This window comes from Homo sapiens, chromosome 10 (genome assembly GCF_000001405.40).
Source record: "Homo sapiens chromosome 10, GRCh38.p14 Primary Assembly".
Classification (NCBI taxonomy): Eukaryota; Metazoa; Chordata; class Mammalia; order Primates; family Hominidae; genus Homo; species Homo sapiens.
Window position 1 is genome coordinate 57330829 of NC_000010.11, and position 15115 is coordinate 57345943.

General features: G+C 38.2%; 1 long non-coding RNA gene across 1 annotated transcript in view; it reads right to left on the reverse strand.

The window, feature by feature from the left end:
- Nucleotides 1–15115, reverse strand: part of LOC105378313 (uncharacterized) — an 85058-nt gene that overhangs the window by 8588 nt on the left and 61355 nt on the right. Inside the window, exon 5 of the long non-coding RNA XR_001747453.1 lies at nucleotides 14153–14254. This is a non-coding gene — a long non-coding RNA (uncharacterized LOC105378313). The remainder of the gene's footprint in view (nucleotides 1–14152; nucleotides 14255–15115) is intronic.

The window sequence follows — 15115 nt, forward strand, 5'->3', positions numbered from 1 at the left end:
GAAAGTGATGCAACCGACATCTGTTCCTATTTCATTGATAAAACTCATAGTCCCAAACATGATGACAATGCAATAGGAGAGTATAATCCTCCATCCATGTGGAGCAATGAGTACTTGTGAGCCATAATGCAACCTTCCACACTCATTTCCCATTTGCACATTATTTGTTCTTTAGATTATCTTCTTCCATCTTTCCACTTGCCACAATTCATTCTGTACGTTCCATACATATTGGTGCATAGCAGAAACAGTAATCACCAAGAGAAGCAGCAATGGTGCATCTTTGGCATGTGGTTTCTAGTGCCAGGAGCAGTTATTTCAAGCAGATAACACATGATATGATCTACTAAGATATGAGCAGAACTTCTTAATATTCTTGTATGAAAATCGTGGGAAGAGGCGGAAGTGCTGAGATCCTATGAGGAGTGATATTTGAGTAATTCCTATAAATGTGACCAATTTATTTTATCCCACAATTTCGTAAGGCCCAAGAATCTCTGGTTTATTAGTAGTAAAGGACTTTAAAGAATGAATATTAACACAGTCATGTAAAGAAACTTCTTCACTCTATAAAGGCTTAGCAGTTTATTCTGTTCAAACTGACCATCTATGAGAAAATATCCAAAGAAATGAATGTCAATTCATGTTTCTATGATTGTCAAGAAATGAAATAATAAGAAATCAAAATTTTGAATTCCTGATGCTCATACTCAAGTAATCTTCTTTAAAGACCACAGTGTCCAGGCATGTCCTTGGAAGGACAAATTACTGCAGGTTTCCTTCAGAGCTCCATTTATTTAAGACTCTTTCTCTGAATTAACCATATAACCATCAGCTTTGGCTCTTTCATAGCCTGTCAGCAGATGAAAGAGGGCTGAGTGTGATCAGAAACAGGTTTGAATGGTTAAATATGTGCAACAACAATGGCATTTTACTATACATATAGCTTATAGACTGCTTTTTATTTAACACTTTTCCTGGTCTCTTTCAGTGTTAAAACTATGTAATGATATTTACTGATAGTATTTCATACAGAATTATTTAACCACACTTTTTGATTTAGTCATCTAATTGGTTTCCAGTATTGTTTATAACATGTAATATGCTACAAATAATATGCTTGAAAAGAAATCATTTTCTTTTTAAAAAAATTATGTCCTTGAGAAAGATTGTGTGTACTGTGATTTTGCATTCCAAAATATATACATGTTGATTTTTTTTTTGCTTGGTATCCTTCCTGGACTGCACAAATATTTCTTGTCACTTTTTCCACACATAATTTTTCTACATAAAACATTAGAATTATTTGAAATAACTGACCACCTAATGGAAATAAGTACATCAGTATTTTAACATGTAGTTTTTATTCATTAGCAATTTCCAACATTTTTAACACATTCCTGTCTTTTGGACATCTGGGTTTATTATCTTGTAAATTATCATTTCCTTTTTCGATTTTCTATTGGAATATTCATATTTTTTCCTAAATGTATAGACCTATTTACATAAATGATGCTAACCCTTTGCTATAATATATATTAAACTATTTTATCCATTCTTTGGTTTAATTTTTCCAATTGTTTTAGAAATAAAATCTGTCAATATTTTACTCTGCAGTCTCTGCCTTGATGTCTATGTACAGTCAAGGCTGTAGAAATACTAGGCTCTGTAAGGATTGAAGCATGCATAAATTCAATGGGTGATCACAAACAACAATTCTGGTGCATAAGAAACACGACTTGAGAAGGGAGCTATGGAATTATGGGCAGGGATAATAACTATCTCATGTTTCACTTGAAAATTTAGTGGCAGAAAATAGGTTATTAACTTTGCAAGCTCTCTGAGTTTTCCTTTCTTTTTATTTTAGACCAACAATGTCTCCCCTAAAATGCTTGTGTGTTGGGGGGGGGTGGGGGTTAATTTTTCTTCAATCCATTAACTCATGTGATTCTAAAAATAATAACATTTTTGCAGACAAGATCATTAAGCCCATTTGATAAATATTAAGGAAAAAGAAAAGCATAAATATGTCTCCTAGTATCATAGGCAAGTTATAGACATGTCCATAACCTGATTCAGGTCTTCACTTCACATCAGAATCTGTATTGTATGATAACATGTGGTTTTCCCTGTTACTCTTTGCTGAATACGTTGGCTGATGTAAGAATCATCAGTGAAGTTTTTTTAATGACATTAAGTTTACCATGAAATAAAATTCATATTAGTTTTAATACTTTGTTATTTCCTCATAATGTACACATTAAACTGTACATTATAATGTGTACATTATGAGGAAATAACACAATACATTTATTACCAATTTTACTATCATAATATTTTAAAAGCAATTTCAGAGAACTAATAGTTTGTAACATTAAGCCAGAATTATTATTTGATTCTGAGGTATCTTTGTTAAACCCTTGATATTTCCATTGGAAAAAAGAATTGAGTTGGGCCACAATGAAAGGAACACATATATGTGATTCTAACTCTATATTTAGTTATAAAAATAGTATCTGAGAATGTTGGCTCATATCATTTAAGCATTTTACATATGTCCAACCATTTTCATAAACTTGGTAAAATAAGATGTATACATTGTAGACTGACATGGTTCGGATCTGTGTCCCCACCCAAATCTCATGTCGAATTGTAATCCCCAGTGTTGGAGGTGGCACCTAATGGGACGTGATTGGATCATGTGGGCAGAGTTCTCATGAATGGTTTAACACCATTCCCTATGTGTTGTTCTCATGATAGGGAGTGAGTGAGTTATCATGAGACCCGGTTGTTTTAAAAGTGTGTAGCACCTTGCCCCTCTCTAGCTTGCTCCTGCTCTGGCCATATAAGACATGCCTTCTTCCCCTTTGCCTTCTGCCATGCCTGGAAGTTTCCTGAGGCCTCCTCAGAAGCAGAAGCTGCTATGCTTCCTGTATAGACTTCAGAATTGTGAGCCAATTAATCCTGTTTTCTTAAATAAATTATACAGTTTCAGGAATTTTTTATAGCAATGTGAGAACAGACTAATACATAGACCTATAAGATATGGAAAGTGGGTAGCATGTGTCATTGATGTTTTACAAACATAGATACAAAGGCTCAGACAATTTAGTGACTTGCTTAAAACCAAACTTAGCTACACGTTTGTATGATTCATCAAATTCATTCATTACATATTTATCGAGATCATTGTATGTGTCAAGCACTATTCTACCACAGGGGGCATAACTGTGGGAAAAAAAAAAACTAATGAAAGTCACCTTGTGGGTCATAAGTCTACTGTTAATGGTGAGGAGGAGAGCAGTAAATACATGTAAAATATGTTTATACTTATATTTTGCATGTATCAATACATATAAAAATGTATGATCTTACAGTATTTTAGAAAGTAGTAAGTACTAGAACAAGGTAAGAGAAATTGGGTGTGCAGGCAAGCTGCAAGGTCATAAAGAGTGGTCAGAAAAACCTCCATAGAAATTCTAGAATGTTAGCAAAGATTTGAGGATGAGATGGAGTGGTGTATAGATATCTGAAGGTATCTTGAGGAAGAGCAAACAACTGAACAGCCCATGTACTGACCCTTAGGCTGGAGTGTGATGGTTTTGCAAGGAACACTAAAAAGTAAGCATGGACAGAAAAAAGCACATTAGAGGACAATCATAGAAATTAAGGATGGCATGTTAATTGTAGCCAAGTTATGAAGGGCTCCGTAGAATTTTTAAAATTCGTTTTATATATTTAATAAAAAGAAACACATACTCAATTTTAAATAGATTTTGGGCTCATGGAACTTGTGTATATCATGTTCGACTGGATCCAGGGGCTCAAATTATGCCAGCAATTTTTTTTTTATGTTTTCTTCACTGTGATGACACTATTCTCTACTTGTGCTATTTGAATTGCTCCATAAATCTTGAAGATGGCTACTTGCAGCCTTTGCTACTAGTTTAACACCACCAGTTAAAAATAGATTTCCCCCGGTGATATTATGCCAATACAAATGAAGAACCTCAACCAGCTTTGTTTCATCATTTGTCAACCCCTAAAATGCTCATTATTGTGAGACAGAGGTAGTGCTACAATGTGAAAAATCTAGATTTCATGATAACTTCTGTAGCTCAGGTGAGAGGCTTAGATTGATAGTTTACCAGAACCACATCGGATGGGGCCGATTACTTTCCACAAAGAAAGGGATGTCGATGAAAACAAGTATCTATCCCTGCTTTAATGCCTAGTAAATGGAGTAAAATCATACATATCTTCTGATTTCAAATCCTGCTCTCTTTCTTTTTACAAGAAGATTATTTTGGTTGTAAACTCCTTAAATCTCTAGAGTTCTAATTCTTTATATTGTTGACTGGTTAGATATCTCCTTTATGCGACACCATTGCAAAATCTTGTGTGTCCAGGTTCTTTCTAAATCACATGCACAACTACGTAAGAGGAGCTCTCAGTTTAGAGTGCAAACATAAATAGCACTACTCCTCTTCCTGTAGTCTCAAACAAGTACTCAGAAAAGCACTCTCTATACCTACAATAAAAATCTGAATAGTGTAGCATTGAACTCTTTGTGGAAAAGATACATAATTCTTTGAAAAAATACTCCAAATTTGCATCCTGTAAGTGAAACTGTACATGATAATGAGTTGTTAACCTTGAGTTCTTTTTTACCTGTAGAGGGGCTATGAACGGGCCAAGGATAATGGTTATATGGTTGATACAGAGAAAGAGACTTAAATAAAAGGGACTCTAGAAATATTCAGTAATTTACCCTTTCAACGACTTTCCTGGATACTTGTCTTTAAATAAAACGATTTTATAGCATGGTGTTCTTAGAATGTGAGTGTTAGCAATCCTTTGGATGTCACCCTATATTTGGTGGATACATGCTATCTGAATTCATTTGTGTGGCATATTTAAAATTAGTCACATTCACTTGGAATAGGGAAAGTTAGGAATATATTCCGTCAAATTTACCTTAGGCAACAGAGGACTGGAGGAAACTATTTCTCTGAATAAACTACTTCTGTCTACATAAACGTGTGTTCCAGCTTTCTTCCCTTTTGTGTCGTTATATCTGAAAAGAAGAGCGAAATCGGGGCAATGCTGAGCTACTAACTAGTATTTAGATTGGAAATAAGTATGAACAGTTTGTTAGTTAAAGGAGTTTATTTAACAAGCCTGAAGATTGAAATGAAAAGGCAAAAGATTGAATTCTTTGCTGTCTCCTAGCATATATCTTTCTGAATCACCTAAAAATGTTTAGTTACTTGTAAATTCTGAGATGTCAGCTTCTACAATGCTACTTTATTGGCAATGCAGAAACATGGGAAATACTATAAAATATTACTACCAACCCGTCCCTCACAAATTTAACTTTGTCATTAACAGATCTCTGAGTGATGTACTTTTGTGTCCAGAATTGGGAGGGTTCTTGGTCTCACTGACTTCAAGAATGAAACCAGAGACCCTCGTGGTGTTACAGTTCTTAAATATGGTATGTCTGGAGTTTGTTCCTTCGATGTTCAAACGTGTCCGGAGTTTCTTCCTTCTGGTGGGATCGTGGTCTCGCTGATTTCAGGAGTGAAGCTGCAGACCTTTGCAGTAAGCGTTACAGCTCTTAAAGGCAGCGTCTCTGGAGTTGTTCTTTTCTTCCAGTGGGTTCGTGCCCTTGCTGGTTTCAGAAATGAAACTGCAGACCTTTGCGGTTAGTGTTACAGCTCTTAAACATGATGCGGACCCAAATAGAGAGGCACAGCAAGATTTACTGCCAAGAGCAAAAGAACAAAGCTTCCACAGCACTGAAAGGCATGTAAGGACGGTGCTGCTGCTGGCGCAAGTGGCCTGCTTTTATTACCTTATCTGGCCCCCACCCACATCCTACTGATTGGTCCATTTTACAGAGAACTGATTGGTCCATTTTACAGAGAGCTGATTGGTCCGTTTTACAGAGAGTTGATTGGTCCGTTTTGACAGAGTGCTGATTGGTGCATTTACAATCCTTTAGCTAGACAGAAAAGTTCTCCAAGTCCCCACCCCAACCAGAAGCCCAGTGGCTTCACCTCTCAATGGCACTCACTGCCAGACTTTGGGGTACCTAGCCCAGGCACTTTGGCAGTGCAGAGGGAGCTTGTGCCCCATCAAGGCCAGCAGGCACTGGCTGGCAATGCCTAGTGCGGGGCCGCTGAGCGGGCGCCCACCCAAAACCTGTGCCAGCCTAAGAGCGCCCAGTGCAGCCCCGGCTCCCACCTGCGCCTCTCCCTCCACACCTCCCAGCGAGCAGAGGGAGCCGGTTCTGGCCTCCACAGGCCAAGAGAAAGGCCCCCACAGCACAGCGGTAGGCTGAAGGGCTCCTGGAGCGTGGCCAGAGCAGAGGTGGAGGCCCAGGAGGCGCCAAGAGCAAACGAGGGCTGCTAGCACGTTGTCACCTCTCAATTTGACCTGTATTAGTTCTGAATACAATGACAACCAATTTCAGCAAAGAACTCAAGGATATATAATAGGTCACACCATGATTCATTCAAATGCACACTAGGCTCTGGGATTTCTTAATGGAATCTTGTCTTTATTGATTTCAAAGAGATCTAGAAACTTAATGACTGCGTGTTTTGTTTTTCCTGTGTTCCAAATTACTTCAGGTAATTAAGATTGCAAAGTAAAATACTTTGAACCATCACTCTTCTAGCTGCCAGAGAGGTATTCATTAGTTTGCATTAAATCCGATTGTATTTGGAATCAGCATCACTTTTATCAGTAAAATACCTCCCTTTTTGCATCAAATATTGAATAACTTCTTTCTCTAAGACAGGATTTCTCAAGCTTGGCACTATTGATATTTTGGGCTGGGTAATTGTTGTATGGGTTATTCCATGCATTGTACTTAATATTTAGCAGGATCCCTGAACTCAAGCCACTACATGTTAATTTAACTCTTCCCCCACCACACACACACACACACACACACACACACACACACACACACACACACACACGAGTTATGACAACAAAATTTCTCCAGATACTAAATGTCCCCTGAGAAGAAAATCACCCAGGTTGAGAACCATGACTCTACAGCAATGGCAACTGTCATAAAAGGTGTAGTCAAAAATTTTTAAAGAGAAATGTAAAGTTAAATGTTATGTAGTCAAATAACCCCTCCTATTGCAGATTACTAATTTAAATAACAGAAAAGCTTATGGAATTGAGTAAGGTGACACAGAGCCAGGATTTAAACTCAGCTACCTCAAATTTCTATCAAATGCCTTATAGTTATTCACTATAAAGAAAATAAAATATTGTAGAAGGTATAAACCCAATTATATTTATTTGTTGACATACTTTTTAAAATTATATTTTATGCAAATTGATATATATCTTAGCAGTTATGCATTTATGTAAAGGCTTTTATATTTTTATGAATGAACTTTTCCTTGTGAAAAAATATTCAAATAAGTTGCTGGCTTTGATTAAAACACAAATGTTAATGCAAACCATATCAGAAAAGAAAAAGAATACTTATCATTAGAGCTTGATTAATGACTCAATCATATACATTGTAAATTTTTGATTAGAAATATTCCACACTAAAATAATTATATTAAAAAATTGTTTTTATAATATTAGGAGAAATAAAAAAATCATTTGGAAGTTTATCATTGTCCCTAGTGTTTTGTCTGAAGGAGATTGCTAGTATGCGTGTGTTTGTACGTGTGTGTGTGTGTGTTGTGGATAATCAGAATTGAAATATAATTTTCCTCCTGAATCAATTTTCTAAATGTGTTATCTTTACAATTCAATTACATGTTTAAAATGCACTACTACACTTCTTCTTAGGTTTCTATTGCTACTGTAACAAATTATCAGAACTTTAGAGGCTTAAAAAGCACAAATTTATTATCTTCCAGTTTTGTAGGTCAGAAATCCAACACAGGTCTCACTGGGCTAAAATTAAGGTGTCAGCAAGGCTGAATTACTTTCTGGAATCTCTTTTCCAGAACGTAAAGTCTCGGTGGAATCTCCACTGAGAACTTTTACCCTTTCTAGCTGCCTAAAAATTATTTCTTAGTAACTCCTGTATTATTTTCACCCTCAGGAGATTTTGCCCTAACTGCTGTTGGGGGTGTTGGATGATGATTCTTTCTGGTTACTTCCTGCCAAAAAGGGGCGTGGTGTGGGGGTACAGCAGTTGGGGCTCCTCCTGAGGTTGGTCTAAGGGTTCTCACAAGATTGGTGTGTCCATGTGTGGCTCTGTCTGCAGCACCATTTGGTGTTTGATTGCTTTTAGGCAAAAAGAGATAAATTTTACAAGAAGGTTTAAAATATAAAGTTAGAATATGAGTATTAAGATTATCACTGTTAGTGGGGATACTGTAAACCTTAACTATGACAATAGTTTGATACCTGTTAGTTACACCAATGGATTGTAATACCGGTCTGCCTCCACTAGATGTCATAGTACACTACAAGAAAAGTTAATATAAAAGTAACATTTTCCTTGAGAAAAACACATTTTGCCCCTTGACTTGCCACTAGGGGATAATTTTAGGCTTAGGCCTTTTTTATAACTTGTGATATGATTAAGAGAAAAGCAGTATTAGGTGGCTAAAATAACTTTAGTGTCAATCTTGGCAATTATTTCCATTTAATTATTAAATTCTTACATGATTTTCACAGACCCTCTTAAAACATATTCAAACTTTCTGACTTGTCCTAAACATTCATCCTTAAAACAACCAGTCATTTCCTTTTAGGATGAGAATTTACTATACAAGATCCTTTCTTATATAAAATCTCTCTTTTATAACCTTTCCATAGCTTAGAGTGCACCATATTATCAATCTTCAGTAAAAAGTCCTAGCAAACTTAATGATAGTAAAACTTTCATGGTTACTTCTTGATTGTAACTAGTACTCCTGCTACAGGCAAAACAAACTTGACTAAATCCTTCCTGTAATTATTAATCCTGCTATAAAGATGATAATTAGGCAAAATATTACAGCCATGAGAATTTTAAAACCAGAATTCCACATTGTGGGTACCACAGTGTATAGCTTTATTGCAAATCATAGCGTGACTATAACAATTCCCATAAAAGTGGCATAGTAAATAATTTTTGTTTAAAACTTTACTTGCCAAGATATAACATTTCCCTTGGGGGATTTATGAAGTTACAAATGCAATTCCATGTATAATTAAAATCTCTCTGCAAATACGCGTTACAAAGAAGTTCTATTATTTGGCAGAATAATTATATTAAAATAAATTATTTTTATAATACTAAGAAAAATAAAAAAAATTATTTGAAAGTTTATCATTGTCCCTAGTGTTGTGTCTGAAGGAGATTGCTAGTATGTGTTTGTGTGTACGTGTGTGTGTGTGTATAGATAATAATAATAAAGGTAGAAGTAATAAAAAGTATTTGTTGAGGTAAAGGAGTGGGGCTGAGTAAGATGATTGTCCCTCACTCAGTTAGTTATCTTTTATGATTTTCAGCCTAAGATCTTCTGTTTCTCCACATTGATATTCGAGATGTTCCTCTGGGCTGTCAGGGGTTGCTCCCTCAGGTCTTCAGGCATTGACTTGAGTGTGATGTATTCAGAAGTTGATACCTGTAACGTTTACTGCTGAGGGGGTTGAAAGAAGAACTGTATAGGGCCCTTCCCAGCTTGGCTTAAAGAAGAAGAGAGAGAGATGAGTTTTCACTAATACGAAATTTCTTAGGTTAAGTAAAGGTGGTCCTATTTCTTGGGGTTGGGCTTTTTCTAGATGTATCAATTCCTATTGAAAGTGAGCTAGAGAGGGTAGATGCTTAACCAAGTTAGAGGTTTTCTGCCTGAAAACAACCTCTGAGCACATTGATAAGTTTTATCCTTTCCTAAGTGAAAAGCTTGGTGAAGGAATGTAAGGACTTTCCATTGACTGGAGGCTGGCAAATGGAGTTTGCCATCCTCTGACTGTAGCTATCCTGAGTTATGAGAAGTACACCCTTGAGAAGTGGCTCACTCTATTTCTGCAGGGGAATAATGAGGTTTAATTTTTCTTATGGAGCCTTCCTTGATTAGGATGGCTTGAAGTGTGTTAATCCCTTGAGGCTTCCTTGCCACCAACTTAGCTGCCTGATCAGCTAACCTATTTCCTTTGGCTACTTTATCTGTTTCCTTTTGATATTCCTTACAATGCATTCCTGCTATTTCTTGTGGAAGGAAAACTGAGGATAATAGCCTGCTAATTTCCTGGTAATATTTTATAGTAAATCCATTAGTGATAAGAGAATGTCTTTCCTTTTAAATGGCAGCATGAGCATGAAGAACTAAGAAAGCATACTTGGAGTTAGTATAAAAGTTAGCTACCTTTCCCTTGCTTAATTTGTGATCTTATAAGAACTTTTAGTGCAGCTAATTCAGTGCTTGTGTCTGGGGAGAGACATTTTTTAGACGTTATCCTGCCTTATGTATTGCTTGCTTTACTGGCTGTTTGTTTGCTAAGGATCCTCCGTCCACTCCTCACAGCCTGTTTACTACTCTAATGAGCAGAGCTTCATGTGCTTTTAGTAACGGCAGTGATGAAGATGACCTCCCTCCAGACCTGGCCGAGGCAGTGGGAGTGACCACATCTACAACCACAAACACCACAACGGCCGCCACTCAAGTCTCCATGCCACTGCCGTCCCCCAAGGTCCAGAATGTCAGCTCGCCTCACAAGTCAGAAGGCCAAGGCCTGCTGTCCCCTGGGGCCAAGGTATTGGGGGGTGGAAAGCTCTGGTGAGCAGCCACACTTGCTGGGAATGTGGGGTGTAAACAGGTAAATTATTTCCTAGGGTTAATTTGGAGGCTTTTCTGATGAGTAGAGCTACTGTGGCAGTGGTTTGGAAGCATGTATAAATAACAGGTCCTCCTAATTGCAACTAAGAGGCTGAGAAAAATATTGGATTGGAGTTTGTCCTGAGACGCCCCTTACAGTCGTATTATGGGAAGAGGGGAGGTCTAAATTAGAGAGGAGCAAAGAGAGACAGACAGGCACTAGTGTTCAGAACGAGGTCTACTTTCCTTCCTTCAATTTCCAGAATTACCCAGAGCTCCTGTGCTGTAATGACACTTTAGCCACCGGAGCCAGGATTTGAGCCCCAAGACCTATCAGTCCTGCTGGAATCATCGGTGAGACTGGTTCTGTACTCAGTGACCTCTGCCTTCGGGGGCAATTTGATATCCAGTGGCCTACACTTCAGGCTGGACCTGGTCAAGGTGGCTTCTTCTTGATGTTTGGGCACTCCTTCTTAAAATGCCCTGGCTCGCCACACTCATAGCAACTAACGGATGCACCTGGGGTATCCTGGACTTTGCAAACTTGCAAAGCGGCTATTAGAGCCTTTGTCATTCTCCTGAGCTTCCTCTCTATCTTTTAGGCCTCCTCCTGGTCCCTATTATAAGAGACCAAAGTGGCCACCTCAAGGAGGTATTCCAAGATGCTATCTGGTCCTATAGCTTACTTCTGTAGTTTCCTTCTAATATCGGAAGTTGCCTGTGTAATAAACTTAAGCTTTAGAATGAGCTGTCCCTCAACTGAATCAGGGGATGAGGAGGTGTCCTCTTTTAGTGCCTCTCTCAGCCTTTCCACAAAGCCTGCAGGATTCTCATCTGGCTTTTGGTCTATCATGGACAGTTTAGAGTAATTAACAGATTTTGCCCTATTCTTTCATAGGCCCTCTAAAATACATATTAAAAAGTGCTTTATTTTCCATTCATCTGTAGAGCTATTGGGATTCCAATTAGGGTTGTCAAGAGGAACAGCTTCCCTTCCTATTGGAAATGGTGTTTCTGCTATTTCTTCCCTTTCCCTATCTCTTTTCTTCCTTTCTGATATATTACAGGAGGTATATTGCTCATCTCCAAAATTATCTGCTACCTGCAGAACTGCCTGCTGTGGTTAGAGTTTGGTTTAGGAGCAGCATAACATCCTTCCATATGAGGTGAAACACCTGAGTTAAATTCTGGAAACCTTTTGCATACCTATTGGGGTCGTCAGAAAATTGGCCTAGTTCTTCCTTTATTTGCCTAAGGTCCTGTAATGAGAAGAAAACTTGAGGTGTCCCCAAATAAGGGGAATTATCAGATGGTTCCCCCAGAAACTGCCTTTGTAATTGGGGGATTATTTTCTATAGGCTTACCTGTTATGCCTGTTAAAAAAGCTAGGTCGATCTTACGACACTTGCAAAGGTTAGTAAAAATGCCATGCCCTTGTGCGAAATAAAATGAGTCACATTTCTCTTTAAAGTACCGAGGTTAAACAAGTTCCAGTGTTTCAGAGTGCACTCCAGAGGGGTGCAAGCTGAAGATAGTCTGTTACCCATCTAGAAAAAGAAGTGAAAATAAAAGCATCCTTTTAGTCCTTCTTTCTTTCATTGTGACCCAGGGTGGAGCGGGAGGAGAAGACAGTGGGAGCATCCCCCCAACTATTTTCTCTCCTCAGTTCCTAAGTCCCAGCACTGTGTTAAATATTCCACCCAAGGTTGCAGGCGTAGCCTTCCAAGCCATGGAACCAGATGAACTAAGTGATTGGATTAACTATGCTTTACCCACAGAACCTCAGCTTATCTGCCTGTTGTGATCCCCTTTGACTTCCTAAACTTGTGTGATCTGCCTGGCTCCCTGAAAAATGGATCTCCAGAGAGTCTATGTCATCTTTGGTCAAGGCTCCTTTAATGGAGGGAATGTTCTATATTGCCTGCTACTACAGCCTGTGCTAAAACATTTACCCTTAGCAAAATGGTTCCAGTTAACTTCTGAACTTAAAAACTTCTTACTAATTAACTACTGTTCCAACTGGAGACAGAAATGAATGTGGGGACCTAATGACAATTTTCCTGCTGATGGTGAGAGGTGAAGCCAGCTGGGCTTCTGGGTCAGGTGGGGACTTGCAGAACTTTTGTGTCTAGCTAAAGGATTGTAAATGCACCAATCAGCGCTCTGTGTCTAGCTAAAGGATGGTAAACGCACCAATCAGCACTCTGTAAATGGACCAATCAGCACTCTGTAAAGTGGACCAATCAGCTCTCCGTAAAATGGAGCTGATTGTGGGTGGGGCCAAATAAGCGAATAAAAGCTGGCCACCCGAGCCAGCAGTGGCAAACCGCTAGGGTCCCCTTCCACACTGTGGAAGCTTTGTTCTTTTGCTCTTCCCAATAAATCTTGCTGCTGCTCACTCTTTGGGTCCACACTACCTTCATGAGCTGTAACACTCACTGCGAGGGTCTGTGGCTTCAATCCTGAAGTGAGCAAGAGCATAAACCCACCGGGAGGAACAAACAACTCCAGATGTACCAACTTTTAAGATCTGTAACGCTCACTGCGAAGATATGTGGCTTCACTCCTGGAGTCAGCAAGACCACAAACCCACCAGAAAAAAGAAACTCTGGACACATCTGAACATCTGAAGGAACAAACTCCAGCCACACCATCTTTAAGAGCTGTAACACTCACTGTAAGGGTCAATGGCTTCATTCTTGAAGTCAGTGAGACCAAGAACCCACTGGAAGGAATAAATTCCATACACAATGAGACAGTATCAGATCTAAAATCTGGTCATGGAGGACATTTTACTCCTAATTGTTGATGGCAGAGCTTTCCTGTTCACAGAAGGATCTTTTCCAGCAGCACGAAAAAAGAGGATTAGAGAACTGCAGTGTTACCAGACTGACAATGTGCCTCATGAAGAGGATTTCTATTTCCACTAGATGGTTATGTTGGCTTAGAAATACCATGTACTCACCAGAGAGAGGATAGAGAGAGATGCTTATTGGGTTACTGCCTGTGGCGATTGCCTATCTTTCCTAAAAGAACTGTTTGCCTCAACTGTAAAAATTTTTGCACATTGCACACACACAGAGAATAAGAGACAAGTGACCACAGAGAGAAAAGGAAGAAAAATTTTGTGACAGGATAGCTGGAGATCCATTACCAACACCCAGATGGCTGACGGAGGCTGGGTTCAGTCCAGACTCCTTTGAAAAACACCAGGGTGTGCCCTGGCCAGAAATTCTCATTTGCTGGAGGACTTCTCACAGCCTAACACAATGGCTAGGAATTCCATGAAAGGAAACTGGTTTGAATAAAGCCTTGAGATTAAAGGACAAATTTGAAGTTCACTCCATACTCACCACTCTGATGTTTCTACCTTCCATTCTGATTCTGATCCCAAACGAGCCCCCAAAATGAAACGGCTCTGTTGTCTGGTGTATATACCCTGGTCCTTGGTCATGCTGGAGAAAGAATTCAGAATACATGTTTTTCAAACTCAACTAATAACATGTTTAAAACATGATCCTTTTATTGTAAGTTGTAATTCAATAAAGTTGATTAAGAATATCCAGCTTTAGGTATCTTTATATGTTTGTGACGTAAAAATATACACAATTTTTTGAAAGTTTCTGTTGAGATCTGTTAGAAACATGAAAATAAATAATGTCTTACAAGTTTAATCAATCTTCATTGCTTACTGTAAAACTTTCACAATTAACTCAAATTAAATATTGCTTAATAAAAAAATTCCTGTTTTTATGTAACATTGTTTCCAATCCTAATAATTCATTTTTACATTATTTAAATCTTTATCTAAATAGTTCTGCTTTGTATTTTCATTATTTTTCTAACTTTTATTTTAAGTTCATGGGTACATGTGCAGGTTTGTTACATAGATAGTTAAACTTGTGTCATGGGGGTTCATTGTACAGATTATTTTGCCACTCAGGTATTAAGCCTAGAACCCATTAGTTATTTTTCCTGATCCTCTCCCTCCTTTTACCCTCTACCCTGCAATAAGCCCCAGTGTGTGTTGTTTCTCTCTATGTGTCCATGTGTTTTCATCATTTAGCTCCTACTTATAGGTGAGAACATGGGGTATTTGGTTTTCTGTTCCTACATTAGTGTTCTAAGGATAATGGCCTCCAGTTCCGTCCATATTCTTTCAAAGGTCATGATATAATCGGTGGCCATTTAGATTGATTTCATGTCTTTGCTATTCTGAATAGTGCTGTAATGAACGTGTGCATACATGTGGCTTTATAATAGAACAATTTATATTCCTCTGGGTATATACCCAGTAATGGGATTGCTGGGTCAAA